The sequence below is a fragment of the Homo sapiens genome, chromosome 17, assembly GCF_000001405.40.
Source record: "Homo sapiens chromosome 17, GRCh38.p14 Primary Assembly".
Taxonomy (NCBI): domain Eukaryota; kingdom Metazoa; phylum Chordata; class Mammalia; order Primates; family Hominidae; genus Homo; species Homo sapiens.
Window position 1 is genome coordinate 68,866,472 of NC_000017.11, and position 27,189 is coordinate 68,893,660.

Sequence of the window (27,189 nt, forward strand, 5' to 3'; positions counted from 1 at the left end):
GTTCAAAATGGATCTTCTTGATTTTTGTAGACAGTACCTTTGTTGACAGCATGCCATGTAACATTTGATTATCGTTATCTTTTTGCTTTCTACTAAGTATGTGTAATTTCACTTCTGATTAAATTGTAAGCACATCAAGAAGCTTCCGGGCTTTCTATGTCCACCGCCTTCTGAATTAAGTTATCAATAAGTGCTTGAGTCAGCTTGAGGTAGTGGGAAAAACATGGGCTTTGGTATCAGATGTTGTTGAATGCTGGATGGGCTAATTACCAGTTAGTGATCTTGGTTAAGTTACTCATCCTCTTTGAACACAGATTTGCATATCTAAAAATGAGAAGGGTTTAATTCCTGTGAAATCCACCCCAACTAGCAGCAATGGAGTACACTAAGGCTTGACAAGGTTGTAGGATTTACTCCAAATGCATATCTAAAAAATAAGACATATTTCATGGGATTCCAAATCCCAGCATATTTCTGTATAACACAAAAGTTGAATTAGATAGGCAAACTTAAGCCCAAGCAAATAGAAATATGAGTATTCTTTTCTATGTTAACTGTCTGGTTTTATGGTTGTAAACATGAAGGAGTGCAGTACCAGGAAGTATGTGGAGTTGGTGTTTCATTATTATACTTGGTAAACAAGAGTAATAATTAGGCTAATATCACAAACATTGGCCTAAATATTAGTTTAGCAGAAAATCCTATTTTGATGGTCTTAAAGTCCAGTAATTATGCTTATATTAGAAAATATTTTTAATGAAATTTGTAAGCAGGAAGCCACCGAGTTAAGAAAAAGACACATGAAATAGAAAACGTATTTCAAAACTATATATATGAGATTTATTTCACATTTTCTACCTACTCAGTCATGTGAGCTGTTGCTACATTTGTGAACTTTCTGAAACCAAGTGACAAATATCCACAAAAGATCATTTACAATGTAGACATCACTAAAGTCTAGATTTAAAAGTCCAGTGAAAATGGCACACAGTTGGCTTACAGAAATAAAAAAGTACAATATATTTGAAATAGTAGGGTTTTTGTTTTCCATTTATGCCTACATCATGGTGTTACCTGTGGATATGTTATCAACGATATTGATATCAGATACTATGACCCATGACATTTAGTATTTTTAGCAATAAGAAGCACACTTAAATCTATTTCAAAAATATGACATGTTAAATTCTTAGGAAAGTATCAACTTTACAAAGTATCATACACCTAGAAAAGTAAACATGAATTTCTCAGTCTAGGTTAGAAAAAAAGTGTTTTAAGATTTTTATTAAAAAAATTTAAACAAAATTTGTTTATCTTATCTAGAAACTTATACGATCATGTAAAAGTAAATTTATTTATTCAGTATTATACAGAACAATGGAACCAGTATGGCCTGCAGAGATACAGAGGCTGTGAGAGGAGGTTGGCTTAGTCAAATGCCTCTGTCCACACTGACATGGCACTTACCCAGCACCCGAACCTCCTCCTCCCACCACACGGAGAACCATTTCTGTACTTATAATATAGTTTCTAAAAATAGAACATTGCTGCTATAAAAATAAATGTATTTAAAAAAAACCACGGGTTTAAACAGGAACACAGAATTTGGGGTTTTAAGGCTCTTCCTGGGGGAGGAGCTTCCACTTCACTGAGGGATCAAAATCCTCCTCAAAATCACCCAGCTCCTGCTCCTTGGAGAGCTCCAGGAAAACCTGAAAGGGAGGAAGGAAATAAAGAGAGGAGAACAATGCCGTGCTGCCTCTGCAGCTCCCAGGGAATGTTTTATACACATATACCATGGATGATACGAATCCCTAAAAATGACCCACCTGCTCCAGGGTAGACTGTGAGAGGCTGTACTCCTCTAGGTCAAAGCTCTGTTTAACTGCATAGGGATGAACATGTATTAGTTCATATATTTCATATCTAGAGGTCTCATAAATCAGCATATAGTACAAATGATATATTTTTTAAAAATCTTAAATAGGTTAAGGTAATATTCATTCATGTCTTAAGTACATCGTTCAGTTAAGAATACACCAATGCATTTACTTAGGTTTGGGAGAAAAAGCGCTTGAATTATGCTTGTATGTTGTGCAGTTTTTGCGAACTGTATTTAAAGGAGAAAATGCTACTGAGTAAGCTTTCTTTCTTGCCTGTGGGCCAGTGGGTTTTGCACATTCAACACAGAAACAGGTGGAAGGCAGACATATTTTGAAAAGGCTTGTATCAGAAGATTATGGAGAAGGATTTGTGAGCCTTTTTAGAGAGCAGGTATCTTCACGGACCTCTATCCAAAAACCATTGCAGCTTCCTCTGATTGGGTTAGGAACTGTTCTTTTGACCAAAATAGACTGGGAGAGGCGGTTAGAGCTCTAATAGGAGCTCAGCAGATTGGAAATATGCCACCAAAAGTTTCAGGTCAGTACTGGGCTTAATGCCAACCTGGAGAGTGCTGTGAATGACTACGTGGCCCAGAAAGTTGGAGAGCTCACATACATCAGAGAATGAAAAGAAGATGCATTACTGTGACCACAGATGCTCTCAAGGAGAGAATCAGACAATTCCTGATGCTCTAGCAAGTTAGACAATTCCTCTAGAACTAGAAGATCTGAATCTCTTCCTTAGGGCAGAGGATAAGCAAGCAAAGATATATCACTGAGCAGTGACAATGAAAACAGTATAGCGAGAGAGTTCTGACTAGCACAGTTCAGAGTAGCAGAGTTAATGAGCTAAAATTGCAAGGAAAACATGAACCTGTGATGACAGATGCAGGGAAGTTAGTTCTAAAATGTGACAGATGCGAGGAGATTGTTTCAATGACCAGACAGGAGTCAGTTTCTTAATATACAGGCTAAGACAGTAAAATAATATGCCAGTCCACGGAAAAATTTAATTTTAAATATGTATGCATAGATGTTTCAAAAGAAAGTTTTCTTAAATGCATATATAACTGAGTTTTGACTTAGGTTTTACCAACATACATGCAAAAATACATGACAAAACCCCACAAAGCAAAAGTGAAAAAAATCACTCTCATTATCCCCTGGCACAGACACAGAGAATCCCTCTATCTCCTTGGTTTGGGTCTTCCTAAAATTCAATTTGAGACTGTAACTTTAAAATGTAATGCATTTTGTCACATTTCATTTTTGTCATAAAGGTGATTATTTTATGATTTGAAATTATCTTCTTTCCAGGGTCGTACTTCAAAGTCATACTTCTTACCCTTCTCTAATTTGAAGAAAGCTTGGGCTAAAGGTTGCACATCTTCCACTGGCAACTTATAAACCATCAGAGAGGAGTACCTGAGAGAAAAGGAGAGGTAAGAAGAGTGATACCACTTGTGCCAGATGTGAACTGATGGCAATCATCTCTCTGGTCTTTTTTTTTCTTTTAAAAAATGGTGTTAGGAACATTTAACATGAGATCTACCCTGTTAACAAATTTCGAAGTGAACAATCCAGTACTGTTGACTATGAGTATGTAGGGTCCCCCAGTTTCCTTCACATTTTTCTGTGTTCTGACCAAAAATCAGAGGGTCTTGACTGCTCTGTCATCTGGCCAACAGAAGGTCTTTCCCAGCTGGTTTGAACCCAAGCTAGGGCCTTGAACATTCCCAGGAACAGATAAAGCTATTCAGATTGTTGTCCAAAACAACTAACCCTGACCCTGTGCCAAATTCCTTAAACCTTCATAAAAACTCCATAACCTGACCCCTCACTGTAGACATGCCTAGGTAGAACACCCCTTTTCTCTCACTGTTCATCTCGAAAATTGCTGCAGCCCACTCTGTAAGGAAGTTGCCCTGATAAATGATTTGGACTGATCACTGTGGACTTAGTTCTCTTTTTGGAATCCCAACCGGCCCCATCTTGGGACAGTTTGGGGAACTCTCTTGTGGAAACTCCCCTGCCACTGTGTTTGGGGTGATTCCGGCTGCAGGTTCAGTGGGACAAAAGAGAGTATAATGAGGTACAGAAGATCTCTAAAGCTTATTCATCTTGCTTAACTAAAATTTTACATCTATGATGAGTAACTTCTCATATTCTTCTCTCCCCAGCCTAGTACTATTTGATTCTATGAATTTGACTATTTTAGATATCTTATAAGTAGAATCATGCAGAGTTTGTCTTTATGTGACTGATTTAGTTCACTCAGCATAAAGTCCTCAAGGTTCATCTGTGCTGTCACATGTTGCAGAATTTCTTTTCAAGGTCAGATAGTATTTCATTACATGTACCTAACACATTTACTTCATCCATTTATCTCTCAGTGAACACTTAGACTGTTTACACATCTTGGCTATTAAGAATAGTGCTGCAATGAAAATGTGGGTGCAGGTATCTCTTTGAGATCCTGATTTCAGTTCTTTTGGATACATACCCAGAAATGCAATTGCTAGGACGTAAGATAGTTCTATTTTTGATATTTTGAGAATCTACCATATTGCTTTCCATAGTGGCTGCACCATTTTGCATTTCTACCAAAAGTGTGCAAGCATTCCAATTTCTCCACCTCCTTAGCAACAGTTATTTTTTTGGGGGGAATAGCCATCCATCTTAGTCCAGTTTTTTGTTGCTATGACACTATACCACAGACTGGGCAATTTATAATAAAAATAATTTATTTCTTATTATTCTGGAGGCTGGGAAGTTACAGATTGAGGGGATACATCTGGTGAGGGTTTTCTTGCTGTGTCATAACTTGGCAGATGGCATTATAGGGTGGGAGGGGCACTCAAGAGAGAGCCAAACTGGCTTTTATAACAGACCCACTCCCAAGATAACTAACTTACTCCCGAGATAACCTATCAATCCTTGAATAGATTAATCCACTCATGAGGGCAGAGCTTTCATGACCTAATAATCTCTTAAAGGTCCCACCTGGTCCTACCTTTTAATACCATCAAAATGGTAATTAAATTCCGACATGAGTTTTGGAGGGGACACTCAAACGATAGCACCATCCTAACAGATGTGAGGTGATATCTTATTGTGGTTTTGATTTGCATTTCCCTGATGACTAATGACATTTAACAGTTTTTCATATACATGTTCATTTGCATATCTTCTTTGGAGAAATGTCTATTCAAGTCCTTAGCACATTCTTAATTGGGTTATTAGTTTTTTTTTGCTACTGGAGTTTAGGAATTTCCTATACACAGTCATAGGCCACATAATGATGTCATAATCAATAATGGACTACATATATGACAGTGACCCCGTAAGCTTATAATGGAGCTGAAAAATTCTATTGCTTAGAGACATCATAGCCATGATGACATTATAGCATAACATATTACTTATGTGTTTGTCGGGATGCTGGTGTAACCAAACTTACTGTGCTGCCAATCATAAAAAAGTATGCAATTATCTATAGTACACAATACTTGATAATGATAAATGACTATGTTACTAGTTTATGTATATACTATACTATACCATACTATACTTTTTATCATTATTTTAGAGTGTACTACTTCTACTTATAAAAAAGTTAACTGTAAAAAAGCCTCAGGCAGGTCCTTCGGGAGGTGTTTCAGAAGAAGGCATTGCACAGGGATCTACAACTGGAAATACCATTTGACCCAGCCATCCCATTACTGGGTATATACCCAAAGGACTATAAATCATGCTGCTATAAAGACACATGCACATGTATGTTTATTGCGGCATTATTCACAATAGCAAAGACTTGGAACCAACCCAAATGTCCAACAATGATAGACTGGATTAAGAAAATGTGGCACATATACACCATGGAATACTATGCAGCCATAAAAAATGATGAATTCATGTCTTTTGTAGGGACATGGATGAAATTGGAAATCATCATTCTCAGTAAACTATTGCAAGAACAAAAAACCAAACACCGCATATTCTCACTCATAGGTGGGAATTGAACGAGATCACATGGACACAGGAAGGGGAATATCACACTCTGGGACTGTTGTGGGGTGGGGGGAGGGGGGAGGGATAGCATCGGGAGATATACCTAATGCTAGATGACGAGTTAGTGGGTGCAGCGCACCAGCATGGCACATGTATACATATGTAACTAACCTGCACAATGTGCACATGTACCCTAAAACTTAAAGTATAATTAAAAAAAAATAAAAAATAAAAAATAAAAAAAATAAAAAAAAAGAAGAAGGCATTGCTATCACAGGAGATGACAGCTCCACATGTGTCATTGCCCCGAAGACCTTCCAGTGGGACAAGATGTGGAGATAGAAGACAGTGATGTTGATAATCCTGACTCTGTGTAGGCCTCAGCTAATGTGTGTGTGTTTGTGTCTCACTTTTTAATAAAAAATGTTAAGTAGAAAAAACAAATGAATAATTTTAGAAATAGAAAATAGCTTATAGAATATGGATATGAAAAAAGAAAATATTTTTGTACAGCCATACAATGTGTTTGTATTTTAAGTTACGTGTTACTACAAAAAAGTTAAAAAGTTAAAAAAATTTTAGAAGTTTATAAAGTTACAGAACACTAAGGTTAATTTATTAAATAAATTTTAAAAGTAAATTTAGTGTAGCCTAAGTGTACAGTGTTTATAAAAGTCATGTACAGTAATGTCCCAGGCCTTCGCATTCACTCACCACTGTCTCACCAATGGTCGCCCAGAGCTACATCCAGTCTTGCAAGCTGCGTTCATGGTAAGTGCCCTATACAGGTGTATCATTTTTTATCTTTTATGCCGATTTTTACTCTATCTTTTGCTATGTTTAGATACACAAGTTCTTATTGTGTTACAATTGCCTACAGTATTCCCTGCAGTCACATGCTGTACAGGTTTGTAGCCTAGGAGCAATAGGATATACCATATAGCCTAGGTTTGCAGTAAGCTACACCATCTAGGTTTGTGTAAATTCACTCAGTGATATTCACACAATGATGAAATTGCTTAACGACCCATTTCTCTGAAAGTATCCCTATTGTTCAGCAGTGCATGACTGTATTTTGGACATTAACCCTTTGTCATATATATAATTTGCAAATAATCCTCCCATTCCATAGGTTGCCTTTCACTTTGTCAATTGTTTCTTTTGCTGTGTGGAAGCTTTCTAGTTTTATATCATCCCGCTTGTTTATTTTTGTTTTTATTGTCTATGCTTTTGTTGTCATATCCATGAACTCATTGCCAAGACCAATGTCATGAAGCTTTCCTCCTATGTTTTCTTCTAGGAGTTCAACAATTTCAGGTCTTATGTTTATGTCTTTCATCCATTTTGAGTTGATTTTTGTGTATGGCATAAGATGGGGTCTAGTTTCATTCTTCTGCATGTGGATATCCTGTTTTCCCAACACAATTGGTTGAAGAGACTATCCCTTCCCCATCATGTATTCTTGGCACGCTTTTTGAAGATCAGTTGGCCATATATTCAGGGATTTATTTCTCGGCTGTCTATTCTGTTCCTTTGATCAATATGTTGGTCTTTACACTAGTGCCATATTGTTTTGATTTGTGTAGCTTTGTATGTGGGTTGTTATTTCTATAAATGAGAGTCAGTTTTGTGTAGGAAAAAAGGGTAAGGTGAATTGATAATAATCAAAAGGAAGCAGTTCACAAGGAGAACTGGGGGAAGGGAGTGTAATACTCAGACAGTTTAGTGTTGTTGGCCCCTTGGATGGAAGTGAGTAGGTGCTGTCCAGATGATATTTCAAGATTTGCCAAAGTCATCTTCCACCTTGTTTTCTAACTGAATACTTGATCTTCAACTTCATCCTTCAACAAGGAATTTATACTGCATAGTTTCTTAAAGTTCCTCAAATAGGGTAGAAATCTAGATATATTTCCCACAAGTCACATATCTCTCCTTCTCCTCCATCCTACTCAAACTGCCTTCCTAATAGAGGATAATGTAATTGAGCCTCTGGTTAGAAGAGCAGAAATTCAGCACCAAATAAGGTAGGCAACAACATTTTTTAATATTTTGTTTCTCAGATAAATGTTTGTCTTTTCATCATTTGAAAATTAAGAAGATTTACATTTCATTTCACAAGACATCATTACATATATTTATGGTGCAGTCATTCTCACCTATTTCGCTTATTCCCTGTGGCTTCATGATGTATTTCTATACAGCCATGAGCTGGACATTGAATTATAGCATTGCTTTTCCATTTATATTACACTGTAGAAATATATTTTCCCACATTGTTATGATGACTTATTTCTCCTTGTTATCATTTTTTTCACCTAACTCCTAAATTATCTATCATCTGCTATAAATTCTAGGTGTTAAAAATGATCCTAAGGCTACTCTTTAATTTTTTTCTGTCTATGAAAATAAATACATCAGGATGATGCTGTTACCAGAATTTACATAAAATTGGAAATGTTAATTGATTTGAAATAAAATAATTAGGTTTACCTCTTGGTTCTGCCACTTGTTAACTTCTCATGTGACCTAACCTGTCTCTCAGCCAATTTCCACTTCATAAAGATAATAATCAATTTCATTTACGAAGGATACTCACAACGCTTTTTTGAAGTCTACTCATTTTTTTTACTGGAATAGCTATGTCTACGGTGAAAAGTCTCTGTAAGTTTTGGATAGGATAACACAATACCAGGACAGCCCCTGGCGCATAGTGGAACCATGACATTTGCTATATCAGCTCTTACGTCTGCTTTCTCTTCTCTAGTTTACTTCCTGCAGAATCCAACAAATAATCTCTTTCTTTTAGGTTTTCCTTTTGAATGACTATCACTCAACATAACTGACAAGTAACAGTGAACATTTGGTACCATTTCCAAAACAGCAACCATGTTTACCTTTCCTGCCGAGCAGCCTGGGGGAAAAGCCTCAGGATCTCTGCATGGAGGGGCTCCACTTGTGCCAGGTTCTTCACCTTCATCTCCAGCAGGTAATCTTTGCCAAATTTGCTTTTCAGGTGTTGGATGGAACCGATACATCTGGAGGATGAGGTCATATGAGAAAGGAGAAAAAAAAAACCATTCAGTATGTTGTTTGAGAAACTTGATTTGCTGCTAGCATTGTCTCAAGGTCCCTATTGTTAGACCTGGGCACAGTCATTTCAGCTGTTTTCAGTGATCTCTCCCTGCCACAGACAAAAATTTCCAGCAATGCACCTTGGGCTCAAGTGTGGGTCCAGGACAGGCACTCACCTCAACCTCCCAGATACCATGATGGCCACTCGGTCACACACGGCCTCAGCCTCTGCCATGTAGTGGGTGGTTAGGAGGGCACCCCTTTCCGTGTTTCTAAAGGTGGCCCGGATGGCCTGCCTATAATGTCAAGAGATTATTTGCAATTTAGGAAATCCTCTAATTAATCAGAAAGAGATAGAGAAAAGAATTTTTAACTGGCATGCGTGTGAATAATTAGCAAAAAGAGATTAAGTAAAAGAGGGTTCTTAATAGGGCAGGTAGGATGAGGAAGGACAAGCTAGGTGAGAGCTGTTAAACTGGAATCATGCATTGGAAGAGGGGCGTTTACAGAACACAACATTCATTATAGGGTTGTGTTCAAAGAGAAGTGCTAAGCAAGAGAGGCTTGTTTGTGAGAAGTCTGTGTGAAGGGGAACAGAATGACATAAAATTTAACAACAGCGTCTCACAACCTAGTGAGAAGAAAATAAAATGTACAGTAAACACGTACAATGACAACCATGTTTACACCTTAATGAGAACTACTGTTCTCATGCTAAGTATGGAACACTACGTGATTGTGATCTAGAAATGCACCTAAAAGATCAGCTGAGCGCTTATGAAACTCAAGAGTGAGACCTATGGGCCCTAACAATGGTAATTCTTTCTTCAATAAGAAATGGTTGTAAAATATCATCAGGGAAAGATCTTTTTTTTTTGCAAAGTATTGGTTTTACAAGTGACATTGATAGTTTTTTTGTTCTCCACAAAAGAGTTTAAGGGACAATTTTTACAGAAGAAAAATGGTTCACAGGCTCCATGCAAGTCATCCGTGCTGTCCCTGACCGTGGTAATGTTCCTCACCACATTTGCTGCTGCCCCTCGGGGTCCATCCCGGTCGACGGCTCATCCAGAAGCACCACTGACGGGTTCCCCAGTATGCTCAGGACAAAGCACAGCTGCAACGGGAGGAACAGCCCATCTGGTTCCCATCTATGGCACTTGCAGAGCAACACCAAGCCCTGCCCGTACCTTTCTCTTTATTCCCTCTGACAAGGTCTTCACGGGAGACTTCAGCTGGTCCTGCAGCTTGAGCGCATCCACTAACCTGAAGGAAACAGGAGAGTCGTACAGTCTTCTTGACAAGAGGAAATAGATAAGAGGATAACCCAAGCAAGGGTGGAGAAGCAGAACTCAAAAATGCAGTTCTGGAAATACATGTGGTCGGGGGGCAGGGAAGGAGGGGTGATATTACTGGCTGACTTGCTCCCCTACAAAAGATAATATTGCTTTTTGAAGAAATAGAAGGACATGACATGATATCCAAATAGTTGTTCTATGACAGTCCAAATTTTAGTATTTTCTATACATTTTAGCAATGAATAATTACTTTTTAAATTTTAAATTTTATTATTATTATTTTTTTGAGACAAGGTCTGACTCTATCCCCGAGGCTGGAGTGCAGTGGTGTAATCTTGGCTCACTGCAGCCTCTGCCTCCTGGCTCAAGCCATCCTCCCACCTCAGTTTCCCAAGTAGCTGGGACCACAGGTGCGCACCACCATGCCCGGCTAATTTTTGTATTTTTGTATTTTTCTTTTTAATTTAGAGATGAGGTTTCACCAAGTTGCCTAGGCTGGTCTGAAACTCACGAGCTCAAGCAGTCCACCTGCCTCAGCCTCCCAAAGTGCTGGGGTTAGAGGCATGAGCCACTGCGCCCAGCCTTTTTAAATTTTCTTATTTAATATGAGAAAGAAACTTAATACTTTGATATCCAGGAAAGGAGTTTCTAGTTGTAAATCTACCCAGTGTGACCTGGGTCAGCATTTAGAGTCTCCCATCCTGAATTTCCTGTGAGGGTCATCACTCTCAACCTCCTCCACCCCTCCCTTGGGTATAGAACAGATGTGGCTCCTCTGTGTACCGTGTGATGGCAACCTCAGCATCCCCTTTCCTCAGCCCTTTCACGGCGGCGTACACCTCCAGGTGCTGCCTCACTGTCAGGTTGGGCCACAGCGCGTTCTCCTGAGGGCAGTACCCCAGGAACTCCAGGGCATCCCCTCCACCGCTCCCTTTCAGTAGCACCTGCAGATGAAAGTTCCCTCTCAGAACCTACCTTCTGCACTGCTTCTTTGAGTATTTCCATGACATCATTCTCTTCACGAACCTAGAAAAACTAGAGAAACTCTAAACCTCATTGGGTTTAATAATCTGTAATCATTTTGCATTGGAGAAAGGTTGTCAGAGAGCAAATACAGGAAAATAAGTGTGTCCACAGCCAACAATCCAATCTCAGCTGAAAAATCCAATATCCCATAAATGTGGTGCCTGTCCATCCTGGCCAACAGTTTATATCCATTTTTTTTAAATCACTGTCAAAATGAAGCATATTGATTGAATTACTATTTAACTTCGCTCATGGATCAACATCTTTTGAGTACCTCCTATGTAACAAGTGCTGTGTTGCCTGTGGGTACAGCGGAGGGTGGAATAACTAGTGCTTCGTTATCTGGAGTTTTCATTCTACTGAATGAATCAGGCAATAAACAAGTAGAGAAATGAACATGCAGAATAAAGACAGATCAAAAGTGGTGCTGTTATGGAAATTCAGGAGGCTGGGGTAAGAATAACTGGGGAAGTGGCAGTAGGTAGGGTAATTAGAAAGAGCCTGTCTTCTGAGGGCCATTTCAACAAAGAGGAGAAGATGCTAGTCATGGAAAAAAAGGCAAGAGCAAGGAATCTGGGGCAGAGCAAGAGCGAGACCAAAGCCCTGTGTGGGGATGAAGCTTGATGTGGAAGCTTGACGGGGAGGACAAATATGTGGCAAGAGGGACAGGGAAGCCAGTTCCTGCAGCTGCTTGCAAGACAAGCAGGGATGTGTCCTTCCAGCCATAGAGCAGCAAGCGTTCACTGAAAGTATTTAATCAGGAGAATGCATGGATTAAAAAAACTCACGCTGGCTGATCCAATTAAGCTTATTTTGTGACACCCAAATGGCTGGCTTTCTACTTCAGGTCAGACTTACCTTTTACAAGATTTCATTCCAATGTATTAATGAGCAGTTATCTCCTTTCCTCCCATGCTTAATGAGAAATAAAATACTGACTTTGGGCCCAGGTGGTGACTGAGTTGGAGGGTGTCCATGATTGAAGTTAAGGACTAAATTAGAGTTGGCCAAGCCACCAGCAGAGAGGTACCTTCATGAACATCTGCTCTCACTGTGGCTACAGAGGGATTGTGAATATCGGTTTTCTCTTCTTTCATTAGTGGAGTATTTGTCAATAGCATTCCAAGCTGTCTTTTCCTTTCTTGGCTTGACTACTAGCCCCTTTCCCACGGTACAGTTTCACAGGCATCTGCCTTATATTCTGTTCTGTACTTCCCTTGGACATTCTTTGTAAAAGAGTTCTTAAGGTTTTCTATCTTCTGCCATAGAATTTAGGAGAAAATGTTTTATCTCTACCCCATGATGTCTCTCTTAGATAAACCTGAGCTCTTTTTCTGTTTGCCTAGCCACCTTATACAACTAAATTAGAAGTACAATTAAAGTCAATTTCACCCCCTTGTATCTAATTTTTGATCTATTTCTTGAAAACACTCCCCAAAAATAGTTGCATTTGCACAAAAATGTATGTTCCAATAACTAAGCATTTTGTGAAGGACAACTGTCTAATACAGTTTTTTAAAAACAGTTTTATGAAAGATTAAATATTACATACTGGAAAGACAATGCTCACTGAAAGTGCAAATCCGTGTGACTGATGGCAGTATAAATAGGATGTGTGTGAATTCTGGCATTAATTTCAGCTCTGATGCTGGACATTCTCTCTTAATGCCTTTAATAATTACCCCTTGATGGTGGCTGCAGCCCGTCTGCAGCCATCACAGCAAAGATGCTGGCTGCAGCAAGGGAGACGTCTTAATACCTTTAATAGTTACTCCTTGATGGCAGTGGCAGCCTGTCTGGAGCCACCACAGCAAAGATGCTGGCTGTAGCAGGGGAGGTGTGACTGGGGCTGTGTACTCCGGGGGACTGGCAGGGGCCAGAAACAGGTAAGAGCCCTGCCCTTCGCTGAATTGGAGCATCCTTTACTGAATCTCAGGGGCAGTTGCATGCTCCAATTTTGGAGCAAAGTTGTGGCCAAGCCCAGGTGCTGTTGCAACCCTGCTGGGTGTGTACGTGCCCAGGGTGGAACTGCCATGCCAGCCTCCTGCCACCTCAGCTCGCTCTGGATTTTGGGCCCTGACAAGTGTGGGAGGGAGTCCGGGGGGGTGCTGAGGGCAGCTCAGCATGGACTTGCAGGTGCACCTCAGCACAAACCACCTGGGTGCCATAGATGGCATGTTGATGGCAGCAGGCAGACAGGTTCCTGGATAGAAAGGGGTGGTTCTCTGGTGAAACCCCACCTTCAAGCCACCTTCAAGCTTCAGGGATGGCCTGAAGCCTGGGTGCCAGGCTGCCGGTTCTAGGTGGAGTCTGTGACCCAGAGTGAGAACTTATGATGCTTTTTCCAGGCCTGCCCATGGCCACTCATGGACCAAATGGCACACACTTCCTCCTTTCTGAGCCCATAAAAATCCTGGACTCAGCCAGATTCACACAGACTTAGGGACTACCAGCTGCAGAAAGGAGCTACCCACTTTGGGTCTCCTCTCCATTAGGGGCTGGACACTCATCGAGATGACCTGCCTACAAATAGGAGACCCACTTTGGGTCTCCTGAGAGCTATTCTGTCGCTCAGTGAAGCTCCTCACCTCCAGTTATTCACATACCTCATTCTTCCTGGACATGGGACAAGAGCTCAGGACCTGCCAAATGGTGGGACTAAAAAAGCTGTAACACAAACAGGGCTGAAACATGCCCCCCACTTGCCATGTTGCAGGCAATGAGAAGCAGAGAAGAGCTGCAGCCCTTCGGGGATCCCAGACTTAGGGGATCCCCGAGCCAGGGCTGTGACATCCTTTTTAGGGCTCTGTGGTTTCTGGCACCTCCAAGCTTCTGGGTGCCACCACATTTTTTGGTGCCTGCAGTGGAAGCCGCTTGCAGTATGCAAGCATGGAGGTGGCGCCTGTGCCAGTGCCTGGAGCAGCCTGCCCCACCACAACCAGCATGCCTGGCTGTGTGCAGCAGCCAGACCCCATGCTTGCTCACACACCCATCACCGCTATGCACCTGGCTCATTCTTGGCAGGCTTGGGATCCAGGCTGGTGGCATGAACAGAGTGCAGCCTGCTGAGCTGAGTGGACAGAATGAGCCCAGCGGGTCTGAGCCAAACTTGGGCAAAGGCGCCACCAGCTCCAGAGGTTTTGACTGGAAAAGCGACACCCTAAGGATTCTGTGACAACCTTTCAGTGCTTAGCTTTTGTGTGCATTTATGTGATAATTCGTGAATTTATTCTCTTGGGTAGTTCATTAATCACTTCAGTTATATAAGGATTAAGTGGAATCTGTTGTTTTTAAGGTCATCAAATCTTATCAATCTATTTCACCATTAGATAACATATTTTCCACATAATTCACCTACTTGTCCAGCAGTTGGTTTTGTGTCTCCAGTTATCACCTTAATGGATGTGCTTTTACCAGCTCCATTGTGTCCTAATAATCCTAAAACTTCACCTGAAAAAAAGGTTACACTTAATATTAATCTATTTTAATGGTAACATTAAGAGTAAAACATAGTTGAAATCTCACTATGTGACAAGCATTTGCTATTAGTTGTCATTTAATTGTCACAACCACCCTGAGAAGTTGTTATTTTAGCCCCTTCTTATGTAGTTGGGGCAGAAGCTCTCAATGATGGGGTTACCTGTGCAAAGTCACACTGATGGAAAGTGGCAAAACCACTCTTGGAAGCCAAGTGTTTCAGATTCTGTCTCCTGTGATCCTAACCTTGGTGCAATAATGGCACAAACTGAGGTCATCTAACACTTGCTGGCCAAGCCTTCAGAGTGTGCTAGCACATCTTGGTTCTCTTGTGAAAAACAATGAACTTTAGGAAATCAATTGTGTTCATTTAATAGAAATGTTATTACTTCAAAAGTTCATCTTATTAGAGAGCTTATGGTTTAGTTGTAGATGTGACTAGGCTCCTCTTTGTGAGGTGAGTTAATTTAAGTTAGAAATGAAACATACAAAGGAAGCTGTCATTGTCATTCTCCTCTGGGTCTGCATGTGAACCAAGAGGTGGTTTCCAGAATAATGCTCATTAGGAACCAGGAACCTCTGAGGAGGGCTCTGAGCCAGAAGTGGAAGATCCCTATGGCCAACCTTTTCTAACACAGAAGGAGACATTTCTCGTGGCTATCTTATTCTTCCTCTTGGAAAAACAGCCTTTCCTCTTCCCTGCATACTCCTTGCGTAGACAGCTGGCAATGATGACTGGCTTCTGTAAATGACAAGAAGTTATTATGTCAGACCTTAATTCTCTCCATTAGCTTTGAAACAAAATTCCATCTTCCCATTGGCTGGACCCTTTGTTGCCCCAGCCATGCATCAAAGAAGACCTTCTATTTGGTGACATGCTCCTTGGCCATGCCCTATCCTAACACTTGCTTTTGGAGAGGAGAGACTCATTTTCCTCTCCTACAAAGGCAGTTTTTTCAGGAGCACAGTATTTTATACAGCTTGCCTGTCCTTTCAGATCAAACGGGGGCAATGAAACTTAGAGAAGCACTGATTATCCTCAAACAACAAAACAAATGCTGTGGGCTGGACCTGACCCTGAATTTGTACTGTGCACTTTCTCCAACAAGCAATGATGTCTGCTGCTTAGCTCAGATTCTGAAATTCTTTCTTGGCTTTAATAATTTCTATTGCACTCTATTTTTAATTTATTCTAAGAACAAAAGAGTTAACATGACTTTTAGTCGCTCATTTAATCGTAAAAATGGCAATTACCTACTAAAATAGTGATCCTCATTTGTAAGGAACAGAGAAACTCAAAATCATTAGAGAATTAGACTGGTAGACTGACTAATAAAAAAACCTTTGTGTTATGTTTTACCTCATCAAAATTAGTAGAATTCAAGGCATTTGCTGTTCTCACTCTTTCCATCTGAACATCTTCATCCTCTCCTTCTGGTTCTTCTGGATTTTGACACACATCACTACTTCTTGGAGAAATTCTAGAGTCAAAACCATCCATTAATATTGATTTCTGGCTTTCATCTTTGTATCAAAAGTTGCATTATTTAAAGCATATGTTTGAGTAGTACGAGCAATTAACAAACCATCATAATCTCCCTTCACAACTCTCATCCCCTTAAAACCTCCTTGCTTATCTTATCTATAGAAATATGTTTTTTTCAATATCAACTTGAAACCTAATAGCTGACGAAGAATTTTTATATCATAGCTCAATGAAGTAATTTTTCTGGGAACCCTGGCTTTGACACCACCATGTTGACATCATTATGTTTTCATGGGGAAAATGGGCCAGAATATTTGTAATCAGGAGTTTCTAGCAAAATACAAGTTAGATGCTTGATCTCTCATTTCTTCAGAATATGTGGCATATTGACTTTTCCTCTCCATTCTAAGTCTGATAATATCCAGGATATACTTATTCTAGTCTCTCTTCCCTTGAGTGCCTCCTTCATACTGATCTCAGAAGATTTATTAAAGGTCTGCTTTCATCTTGGCAGTCTCCCATCCAACTTTCTGTAATAGCAAAAGATGAAACTGATGTGGTTTGGGAGACACAGAGGGAGCAAGATGCTTATGGTCACTCTTCTTTGTATGGTGCCGAAAATAGTCTCAGCTTTTAAGTCCCATTAATAACTGAACCAGTCTGTGATCCACTGGCTGGGATGCTCACTACCAGGAAAAGAACACAGCTATTGCTGTCCTTGGCCAGTGGATCATTCTGTTCCTTCCTCCTGGATGAATGGCATTTATTCAACTGGCAATATATTGTTTGTTAGATGGGACCTGCCACATTTAACTTTCCCCAGTGCTCCACTGTGGATAGTGTCAGATAGAGCCTTAATACTCCATGTTTCAGGTCCGTTTCTTCCACTAGATCATAATCTTCTTGGGTTTAGGTATCTGGATCTGTATTATTTGTATGGGCACATGGTTCCTACTCCAGCCTATCCTAGCACAACGGCACCTCTTTGTTAATGAATTGATTTATGCATGAAAAATATTTTACGATATTGATCAACAAAATAAAAATCTGATGTGTTTTTTCCAACCTAAAGAAAGGATCCTTTCTCATTGATTTCTTTCCAAACTTCCATTCCAGACATCGAAGAGTAAAAAGAAAAATGATAAAATGAAGGAAAGGCTAGGAATAAAGAGAGATGCACAATTAGAAACATAAAAAGATAATTGTTCAATATCAAAGATATACTAATAATAACCGAACTTCTAAAAAAATACATTCAGTGAAATAATTACAAACTCCTAATAACCTATCCAGCAAATTGTGAAACTATCAAGTTCATTTTCAATCTTTTTTATAGAAACGTAGGAAACAACTATAGTTATGTGATATTATTACTTTCTCATTTCCTCTAACAGTTGTACAGAGTCCTTAAAATTTGGGAGGCACATTACCTGGTCATTTGATCTTTGTAAAAATAATTCTTCCGGATTTTACAAGCATTATATCTCCTTGGGCTATAGATACCTGTATCTCTAACTTAATAAAAGAAGTTTCACAGTGTGTACAGAACTGAAAATTATTAAATTTAGTAAAAAGTGATAATTTTTAAAGAACAGTGTGTTCTTACAATTAGGAATACCAGAAATGGCTGTACATCCATTCGTTCTTCAGAAAAGAGAGAAGAAAAGAGAAGCTGCAAAAGAAAAGACAATTGCTAAACAGGGAGTTTTTTGTTTCCTGAATTTTGTCCACATATACGTGAATTGGCCCTAAACAGCCCTGCTAACATTTGACCATGAATATCACCTAAGTGTCCTTTCTAAAGTGTATAGCAAGGGGCTGTCTTCCTTCCTCCCAAGGTCTATGAGCTTTTGTTTGAAGCAATAGGATTTATCAATTACTAATCACCTGGCGAGAGAATCCTGGAGATCCGTGCTAACCTCCCCAAACAGTGAGAGACAGTGTTTATTCTTCTCACACAGAACTTCACATACCTTCCTGTGCCCATCGTTTCTCTTTGTGGGGCCCCTTCTCTTCCTTTCCCCTTCCCATAGATACCTCTTCACTCATGTACAGTAACTTCCTTCCTTTTGCATAGGTATAGGTATCAGTCAGCCAGAAAAAAGGACTTTGCTTATCTTGGGTGCTTCTTTAGAACTCTGAAATCCCAAAGATTAGGGACATTTCATTTGCTTCCTTCTAAAGCCGAGCATATCAAGGAGGAAATAAGGCCCCACATGAGTATAAGGACTACTCTGTTTCCCACTACCCCTTACCCTTCCTTCCCATATATTAATCAGGACCAAATTTTCCATTACCAGTCAGCTGGAACATATTGTTTTATCTGGGAGAAAATCAATTGGATTCCGTCAGGCAGAAATCTTTGAACCCCATGCACTTTAAACATGTTGTAGTAGACCTTCAACATTGGGCAAAGCTTCACAATTGGTCATGAGTTTCAAGGGACTGGGACAGACTGTGTCATTACTTACATGAGAAGATAAGAACAAACAGCCAATCATTGTGGCAGGTGGTATTAAAAAAGTGAAGATAAATGGAATATCACTTTCGAAGATACTGAACGCAAATCCAGCCACAGAGAATACAGTGACCTAAAAGAAGCAAATATGAAGGTTAATCACTCTGAATTTCAATGTAAGTTCCAAATCGAGATGGCTCATCTTGAAGATATTACTAATTTCAACTCCAATCTTGCAAACCAAGCTGAAATCAGTATATCTCCATTAACAGTTTATTTTAGTGACTTAGCCAAATTCCTTTGGCCTAGAGTTTCACAAATGAGGTATCACTTGATAAATCTAGGATGTGATATGCAGAATTTTTTTCTCTCTTTTTTTTTTTGAGATGGAGTCTTGCTCTGTTGCCCAGGTAGAAGTGCAGTAGCGTGATCATGGCTCACTGCAGCCTCAAACTCCTGGGCTCAAGTGATCTTCCTCCCTCAGACTCCCGGATAGCTGGGACTACAGGTGCATGCCAACATGCCCAGCTAATATTTTTGTATTTTTAGTAGAGATGGGGTTTCACCATGTTGCTCAGGCTGGCCTTGAATTCTTGGGCTCAAGTGATCCACTGACCTAGGCCTTCCAAAGTGCTAGGGTTACAGGTATAAGACACACCCAGCACCCATAGATATAATATTTTAATTACAGTAAATAAACTTTAAAAAATAAAAGTAGATGATCAAAAATCAAAGAAAACATTGAAATTGATATCTAACAGGAATAAAACAACAAAAATGAAAGGTAGGACTTTTGGTAACTATACCAATGGGGAAATAGAAGCATTTAACAACATGGAATGGCTTAAGCAGAAGTACTAAAATACAAAATTAGGGATAACAGAAAGTGATAGGTACACTGGAAGCCCTCATATTTTACCTTCTAATACACTGTAATGACTACTTAAAAGTTGTTGTACTTCTAATTTCTCTGTCTTCCAAACCATCATTTTTATGGCTATCAAAGTATTCTTCCTGCAAGTTTATCTCTAATCCTATTTCTGTTCTGCTCTGTAAGCTTTTAAATCCTTGAGAACATCATTTAAGGGCCGCCATGATTTTATTTTTTGCCATACCTAGGACCATGGCCATTGTGCACCTTGTTTTTTGTCTATATCTAGGAGAGATTATTACCAGTTCCTAGGATCAGCTTGGGCTTTTCCTCTGCTAGGTTTCTGTTCGTTATCTCTATTTGTACCTCATACTTCTCTTGGCTGAAATCTTACTCTTTTTCAGATTTCATCTTTTAAAAGAAATCTCTGCTTTCATTTTCACAAATGAATCTCTCCCTTATCTGTTTTTCATGGACCTCTTTATTATTCAGTTGTATAATAGACTCTTAAGATGGAAAATAACTCGTGACTATTTTAACAAGTGGTTGCTTACTCATCTGTTTATCTTTTGAGAGCCCTTTCAGGATTGAAACTGTCCATTTAATCTCCTTCCTCCCATTATCAATCTTAACTTGGACACACTGCAGAAGTCAACAATTATTTATTGAATTAATAACTTACCTTTTGGCATCCTGAAATCATAGGAAATTAGAATAGACACTCTTAAATTATACACGTTTCCTCCTAATTTAGACAAAAGAAGAGAGGCTTTATGGAATTAATTCTTATTAGGGACTTTGGTGAAGTAATTTCTAGTTTTGACCATGTCAGTAACTGAATTTGTAATCTTGTGTTTATTATAGACCATAATATTATCATCCTACAGAGGGCAAAATTTAAAGGATTAGCTCAGAATTGTATATCAAATATATACAGTATACATCCACAAGAAATATACTTACAACATAGAAACAAAATGACCAAATGCCACTATTTTTTCTCCCCTTGCGAAAGATGAAGGAAATCACGTATGTCATGAAGATGAGGGAAAAGGAATAACCAACAGCACATGGGATCTAAAATCAACAGGAATGTGAAGCTTAGTTAAATACAAATGCAATCAAGGAAAATATTTAGGATTCAAAACATTGTCATAGCCCAGGATTTTATAGTTCTTTAATTTATGACCATATAAATATTGATAGAAATGTTCCAAAATTTCAAATTAAATCACACAATGATATTGTGAATATTGTCACTTACTTGGATATTGTCACTTACTTGAATAATATGAATTATTGTAAGTAGCATGTCTTCGAAGTTTGAAATGTAGCTCATTAAATATATAAAAACGAAGACCAAGAAGTACAGGGAAACATCCACCAGCGCCTGCCCAAACCAGTAAGCAGAAGGGGAGAGTCCGGAAATCCGTAGCTGGGACCGAGCTCTGTTCTAATTAGGAGACAGCAAAGATACAAAGTTTGTGGCTTAAGAATATGTGGATTATGCAAGGAACTATTCAAACAAAACCTTTATTTGTAACAATTCTAGATTATGTCTACAAATGTAATCTGGACTAAGGGATGTGGATAGTTACAAACATAAATAACCAGTCTGCTGCTTTAATGAACTACATTGATGTTCATCACACACCTGGCAGAAATATGTAAAAGAAGACCTTAGAATGATCAAAGCATGAACACTGCAGCAAACAAAACAGTGATTTAATGACTTACAGGTGGGTAGGGGTGAATGGGATGGACAGTTTATTCCCTTAAACAACTACCTTCTCATCACAGTGATTCCTCTCTCTCTTTTCTCTCCTCCATATATATATATATATATATATATATCCATATATATATATATATTATATATGGATATATATATTATATATATGGATATATATACACACACATATATATGGATATATACACACACACACATATATATGGATATATATATGGAGTGTGTATATATGTGTGTTTATTTTATATACACACATATATACACACTCCATATATATACACACACATACACACACACACACACATATATAATTGCTTTATCCTTTAATTGGAATAAAAGAAATTGTGTTGTTCTGCCATAGTCCACATTCAAGTATTTATCACTGATTCAAATATTTATGTGTATCTACATAAATATAAATACATTTACAAATGTAAATGTATTTTACATTATTTGTCATTCCCTAAATAAACATACCAAATTACATGTTTTAAAACTACTTATGAAGTGATGTGGTTTTCAGTATAATCAATAGGTTTGTATATTAAACTATTCTAAGAGTTGTGAATTTTTTTCTTTTAAAAAATACTTAAATTCATTTGTTGATGGGCTTTGATGAGCTAAATAATGCTCCTGCCTGAGACATAATTTGACCTAAAGATTCATATCAGAGCCTCACAACATCAGACACAGGTCTATGCAGGTAGTTGAATTGGTAAGGAATTGATGATTGACTCAACATATTAGAGGCAAGAGAAGAATTGAGGATAATTTTTGGATCTTTAGGAAATGACTGAGCATGTGGTGCTGCTATATATGGAGAAAATAGCAAGGGGGGAAGACATTTAAGTATCTCTACATTCAGTTCAGTTTTGGAAGCATGAAACTTGAGACATCTGTGTTGCCTACTGTGGAAATGCTGAGAAGGGAGTTTGTATCAACCTTGGAGGTCAAATTAGATACAATTAGAGATCTGGGGTAGAGTCAGATCTAGGAGTGACCAGCCAGTAGAGGGGATTCGAAGCCATAGAGCTAGATGGGTTTGCCTAAGACAGAATGGTATCTAACATGAGAAGACAGCCAAGGGCCAATATCTGAGGATTTCCAAAATTTAAATATTACATAGAGGAATGAGAATCTCCAAAGGAGACAAACAATGGACAGTCTTAGGATAAACATGGTGAAATTGTGGCATCACAAAAGCCAAAGAAAGTGTTCATGTTTCCTGCGGAGGAAGTTTTAAAGTTTGGATTATGTTAACACCAGAAAGACTTATAGTTACATCAAACTAGTAAATGGAATTTCTTGAGATTCCTGCATGTTCCACATGAAAAGGGAACATTACATAAACCATACACTCTTTTTGTGGGCAACAGAGAGAGAGAAAAAACGAAACAGATGAAGATGACATAGTAGAGATGCTTACACAAGGTTTCATAGACTTTTTCCATAAAGTCACAAAAATGGGAGTTGGCCTGGGTTATTAATCATATAAATTCACCGCCTAAGATTGCCACTCAAAATCTGGCTCCACTGCAGAACTGCTGAATCGGAATCATCTTTTAAACAAGATGCTCAGGTGATTTGTAAACACATTATAGATTCGTTTGGATTAATGAGTGTCTGTAAATAAACATTTGTAAGTTGTCAGTTCAATATTGAAGTTTTCTCTTTATCTTTTCAAGTTCTCGCATTTCCAAAAATATCATTTCCTTTTATTTCAACAATCTCTTTTTAATTTTGGGGGGTATAATTCTCAAACAAGAAAAAGTACCCATACTAAGTATATAGCTGAATGAGGTCTGATGAATGCATGTTTCTGTACCACAATCATAGGCAAGGTGTAGAACAACCCCTGAAGTTTCCCATGATCCTTTGCAGTCAATAGCCTTTACCACTGGTTACAAGTGACCCCCCACACCCCGAGCCTGCCTTCTGTCACTATAGATTAATTTTACCTTTCTAAGAATTTTATATAAATTAAATCATCCTAATTAAAGGTACCTAATTATTTGTGGTTATCATTCCCTCAGTGTAATGGTTCTGAGACTCACCTGTGTTGGTGCATTTATTAGTTGTTCCTTCTGTTATACTGCTGAATAGTATTCCATTGTATGGCTATATCAGAATTTGTTTATCAGTTCACTGCTTGGGGGACACTTGGGTTGTTTCAAGTTGTTGGCTGTTATGATTAATGCTATTCAGAACATTAATGCTCAAGTGTTTATGTGGAAAGATGTTTTTTCTTCTTTTGAGTAAATACTTAGGAGAAGAATTGCTAGGTTATAACAATAAGCATATTTTTAACTTTATAAGAAACAGCCAAATTATTTTGCGAAGTGATTGTACAATTTACAATCCCACCCACAATGCATGAGAGTTCCGGTTTCTCCACATCCTCATAAACTCTTGATAGTGTTGGTCATTCTAACATTATTAGTTTTATTGAGTGTGTAGAGCTATCTCACTGAGGCTATCTTCCTGATTGCTCATGACATTAACCATCTTTTCATGGGAGTATTTTCCATCTGTACATCTTCTTTGGTAAAGTATATATACAAATACTTTGTCCATTTAAAAAATTAGGTTATCCTCTATTACAGAGGAATGAGAGTTCTTTACATATTTTTGATACAAATCTTTGTCACATATATAAGTATAGTTAATATTTTTCTCCCAGCCTGTGGCTTGCCTTTTATTTTATTTTTAAATTATTTAATTAATTTATTTTTTGAGATGGAGTCTCGGTCTGTTGCCCAGGCTGGAGTGCAGTGGCGCAATCTCAGCTCACTGCAACCTCCGCAGTCCAGGTTCAAGCGATTCTCCTGCCTCAGCCTCCTGAGTAGCTGAGATCACAGGCATGCACCACCACACCCAGCTAATTTTTGTATTTTTAGTAGAGACAGGTTTTTGCCATGTTGGCCAGGCTGGTGTCAAACTCCTGATCTCAGGTGATCCGCCCACCTCGGTTTCCCAAAGTGCTGAGATTACAGGCGTGAGCCACCAAGCTCGGCTGCCTTTTATTTTTTATTCGTGTTTTACAAAGAGCAGAAGCTTTTAACTTTGATGAAGTTCAAGTTATCTTTTTTAAAATAGCATATGCTTCTTCTTCCCCATCTGAAAAATATTGCCTATCACAAGATCTGTGATTCATTACAAATTAATTTTGTGCATGTGACGGATGTTAAGAACATTTTTCTTTTCAGAATGATACCAACTTGTTCCACCACAATTTGTTGAAAAGTCTAATCTTACCCCTATTTAAGTTATTTGGTAATTTTATTGAAAATCAATTGATATATGTGTGGGTTTATTTCTGAAATGTCTATTTCATTTAAAATATCTACATAATTATTCTTAATTAATACAACACATTCTTAATTACTACAAGTTTGTAGTGAGCCTTGAAGTCAGAAGCATATTTTCCAGCTTTGCTTTTTTTTTCAGAGTTGGTTTGTCTATTCTAGCTTGTTGGAATATCCAGATAAAGTTCAGAATAATTCTCTATTACCTATTTATCTATATATTTCAACTTATAAAACTTTCTTTCATTTTTATAACTTAGAATTTATGTCTGAATTGGCTGTTCAATTAAGCATGTAGAAATATTCTTATGAAAAATTGTAAAATTACCTTCTGCTTTCAATTATGCAAAATAATGGAAGTTGCAATTACTCATTATTACCTTATAATCATCGATGCTGCTCATGGCAATGTAAGGTGGGCAACTCGATGTTAAAACCAGCCAGAACATGATATATGCCAGGAATCCGATTGGATTGTCCTGTCCATTCTGAAAAACCCAAAGAATACAATGAACTGAATGAAGAAATTTAAAGTTAATTTTCTGGAATACATTTTTAAAATTTTAGACTAAGTTTACATAATTCTGCCTTAGGTCCCTTTTGAGATTCCCAGATTCCTTCATTATCCTTCCAGTTTTCACACTTAACTTTTGGCTTTCTACTCAAATTTACAGATAAGTGATTGAAAAGATGAATGCACTGATAACATTTGGAAAATAATAAGAACAAGATTTTTCTCTTTTCTTGCTTTATGATTCTAAAATTTATTTTGGTGCTAAATAATACATTATAATTCACAGTTGATACATTCAATTTCTTAGCTGATCTTTATCTCAAATGTGACAGCTTAACTCAAAAAATATCCAACATTTTATGGGTACAGTGATAATAAGTCAGTTTTTTAGGTACATCATGAGACCAGATAAATATTGGTTGAGGACGCAAAAGGAGAGATGAAGTACTAGAAGGGAGAGCAAAATCACCAAGAAAATCTTTGCCCTAGTTCCATCTGTTGTTACTCCTGTTTGTAAAAATCTTTAAGGATAAAAGATCACAAACTCTCTTGAAAGCCAGTCCCATGTTATTTTCATGATTCTCATAGTTGCTTCTTTGATTAAACACATTACTGAAGAAAGTTCTAACCAGAGCCTGGTGGTCTTCAGCTTGGTCACCAGAAAGACACTTGCTAACCATAGATGGTAAGGTTATAGCTTATTGTCTGGATGCTTCCAGAATGTCCTGAGTACTGGGTAGGGTCAATACTTAGTGGCCAATCTATTGACTTTGGGCAGGATACAAGCAAGTTCTGAAAATCTGGGCAACTCTGACTTTGCGGGCAATGAGCAGGTAAAGTAGAATAGAGAATAAAATGAGTTGCTGGGGATATTGGTTAAAGTGACTATATTGGGCACATAAATACAAAGTCAGCTGAGCTGGTTGGTATCTAATTAATCCTAGTTGAAACAGGATATCTTGATAGATAGAAGTCTGAGGCAATTTGCCCAATTATTGCATACTACTCTCAGAAACCAGAAAATTAAAAGGTCTTCACAGTCACAAAATGTTAATGAAGTGAACCATAGCATATATTCCAAAATTAATTAATACTTGGTGGGTCCCTAAAATCATTTACTTTAATGATTAAGTTTCTCGCACATCCTTAATGAAAGGAAGTTTTACTTCCTGAGTACAGTGAGATATGGTGTGAGAAGGAAACTGAAGATCTTGCTGGACCATATGAAAATAATACTGGCAGCTGGGTGCAGTGACTCACACCTGTAATCCCAACACTTTGGGAGGCCAACATCGGAAGATCTCTTGAGCCCAGGAGTTCGAGGTTACAGTGAGCTATGATCCTGCCACTGCACTCCGGCTGGGTGGCAGAGCGAGACCCTGCCTCTAAAAATAAATTTAAAAGAATGACAGATATGTGATCCATTTTATGTATACATGAGTATATGATTATTGGCCATATATATTATCATAAAACCCTAGAATGAGATGTAGATAAGTTGATGAGCCTAACACTCACTTATGTATTTAACAATTAAGTTGTTTCATGTTTATCATGTTACAGGTTTTTTCCTACGTACAAGGTATTTATAAAGTGTTAAAAATACATGATCTATGTGCTCAAAGAACTCTCTGAAAGGGAGAAATGTATGTATTCAATAATTAAAAAGGAATCATTACAAACTTTTAGTTATTCTGGTTCTAAACTTAAAGGGCTATATACATTCCGATCACTTGGACCTTTGTTTAAGAATAGATTCCCTCCTTTCACCACCCCCATGAGGAAAAGTGGTTTGATTGGTCTGGAGTAGGCCAGGGGAATTAATATTTTTGACAAGAATCTGCAGTAATTCTAATGTAGATAGTCTGAAATTCTAGCCTGAACTTTGTCTTGAATTTCTTTTGTAAAATTTCTAAAAGTAATAATAAAGCCCCTTCCTTCATTTGTTCCTTCCTTTGTTCTTTCCTTCCTTCATTCATTCGTTCATTCCTTCCTTCCTTCCTTCATTCTTTCCTTCCTTTCTCCTTTGTTTCATTTG

General features: G+C 38.2%; 1 protein-coding gene and 1 long non-coding RNA gene across 9 annotated transcripts in view; one reads left to right on the forward strand and one right to left on the reverse strand.

Annotated features, from left to right (window-relative positions):
• LOC105371874 (uncharacterized) overlaps positions 1 to 12,696 on the forward strand; it is a 56,293-nt gene extending 43,597 nt beyond the window's left edge. The window contains exons 2-3 of the long non-coding RNA XR_001752986.3: positions 3,201 to 3,325; positions 8,701 to 12,696. This is a non-coding gene — a long non-coding RNA (uncharacterized LOC105371874). The remainder of the gene's footprint in view (positions 1 to 3,200; positions 3,326 to 8,700) is intronic.
• The window catches only part of ABCA8 (ATP binding cassette subfamily A member 8), an 88,104-nt gene continuing 61,732 nt past the window's right edge, over positions 818 to 27,189 (reverse strand). For 5 of the 8 annotated variants that reach the window (NM_001375771.1, NM_001375772.1, NM_007168.4 and 2 more), the window contains 17 exons: positions 25,018 to 25,125; positions 20,865 to 21,035; positions 20,546 to 20,659; positions 18,725 to 18,844; positions 17,860 to 17,925; positions 17,320 to 17,411; positions 16,128 to 16,248; positions 15,392 to 15,509; positions 14,649 to 14,740; positions 11,048 to 11,208; positions 10,157 to 10,232; positions 9,989 to 10,083; positions 9,143 to 9,262; positions 8,789 to 8,929; positions 3,229 to 3,308; positions 1,830 to 1,885; positions 818 to 1,712 (listed from right to left, as the gene is read on the reverse strand). In NM_001375771.1, coding sequence (NP_001362700.1) covers positions 1,614 to 1,712; positions 1,830 to 1,885; positions 3,229 to 3,308; positions 8,789 to 8,929; positions 9,143 to 9,262; positions 9,989 to 10,083; positions 10,157 to 10,232; positions 11,048 to 11,208; positions 14,649 to 14,740; positions 15,392 to 15,509; positions 16,128 to 16,248; positions 17,320 to 17,411; positions 17,860 to 17,925; positions 18,725 to 18,844; positions 20,546 to 20,659; positions 20,865 to 21,035; positions 25,018 to 25,125 — 1,830 coding nt within the window. In that variant the 3' untranslated portion in view covers positions 818 to 1,613. Of the gene's footprint in view, positions 1,713 to 1,829; positions 1,886 to 3,228; positions 3,309 to 8,788; positions 8,930 to 9,142; positions 9,263 to 9,988; positions 10,084 to 10,156; positions 10,233 to 11,047; positions 11,209 to 14,648; positions 14,741 to 15,391; positions 15,510 to 16,127; positions 16,249 to 17,319; positions 17,412 to 17,859; positions 18,392 to 18,724; positions 18,845 to 20,545; positions 20,660 to 20,864; positions 21,036 to 22,777; positions 22,956 to 25,017; positions 25,126 to 27,189 lie in introns of those variants that run through there. The other 3 variants (NM_001288986.2, XM_047435109.1, XM_011524192.4) reach the window with 3 other exon arrangements.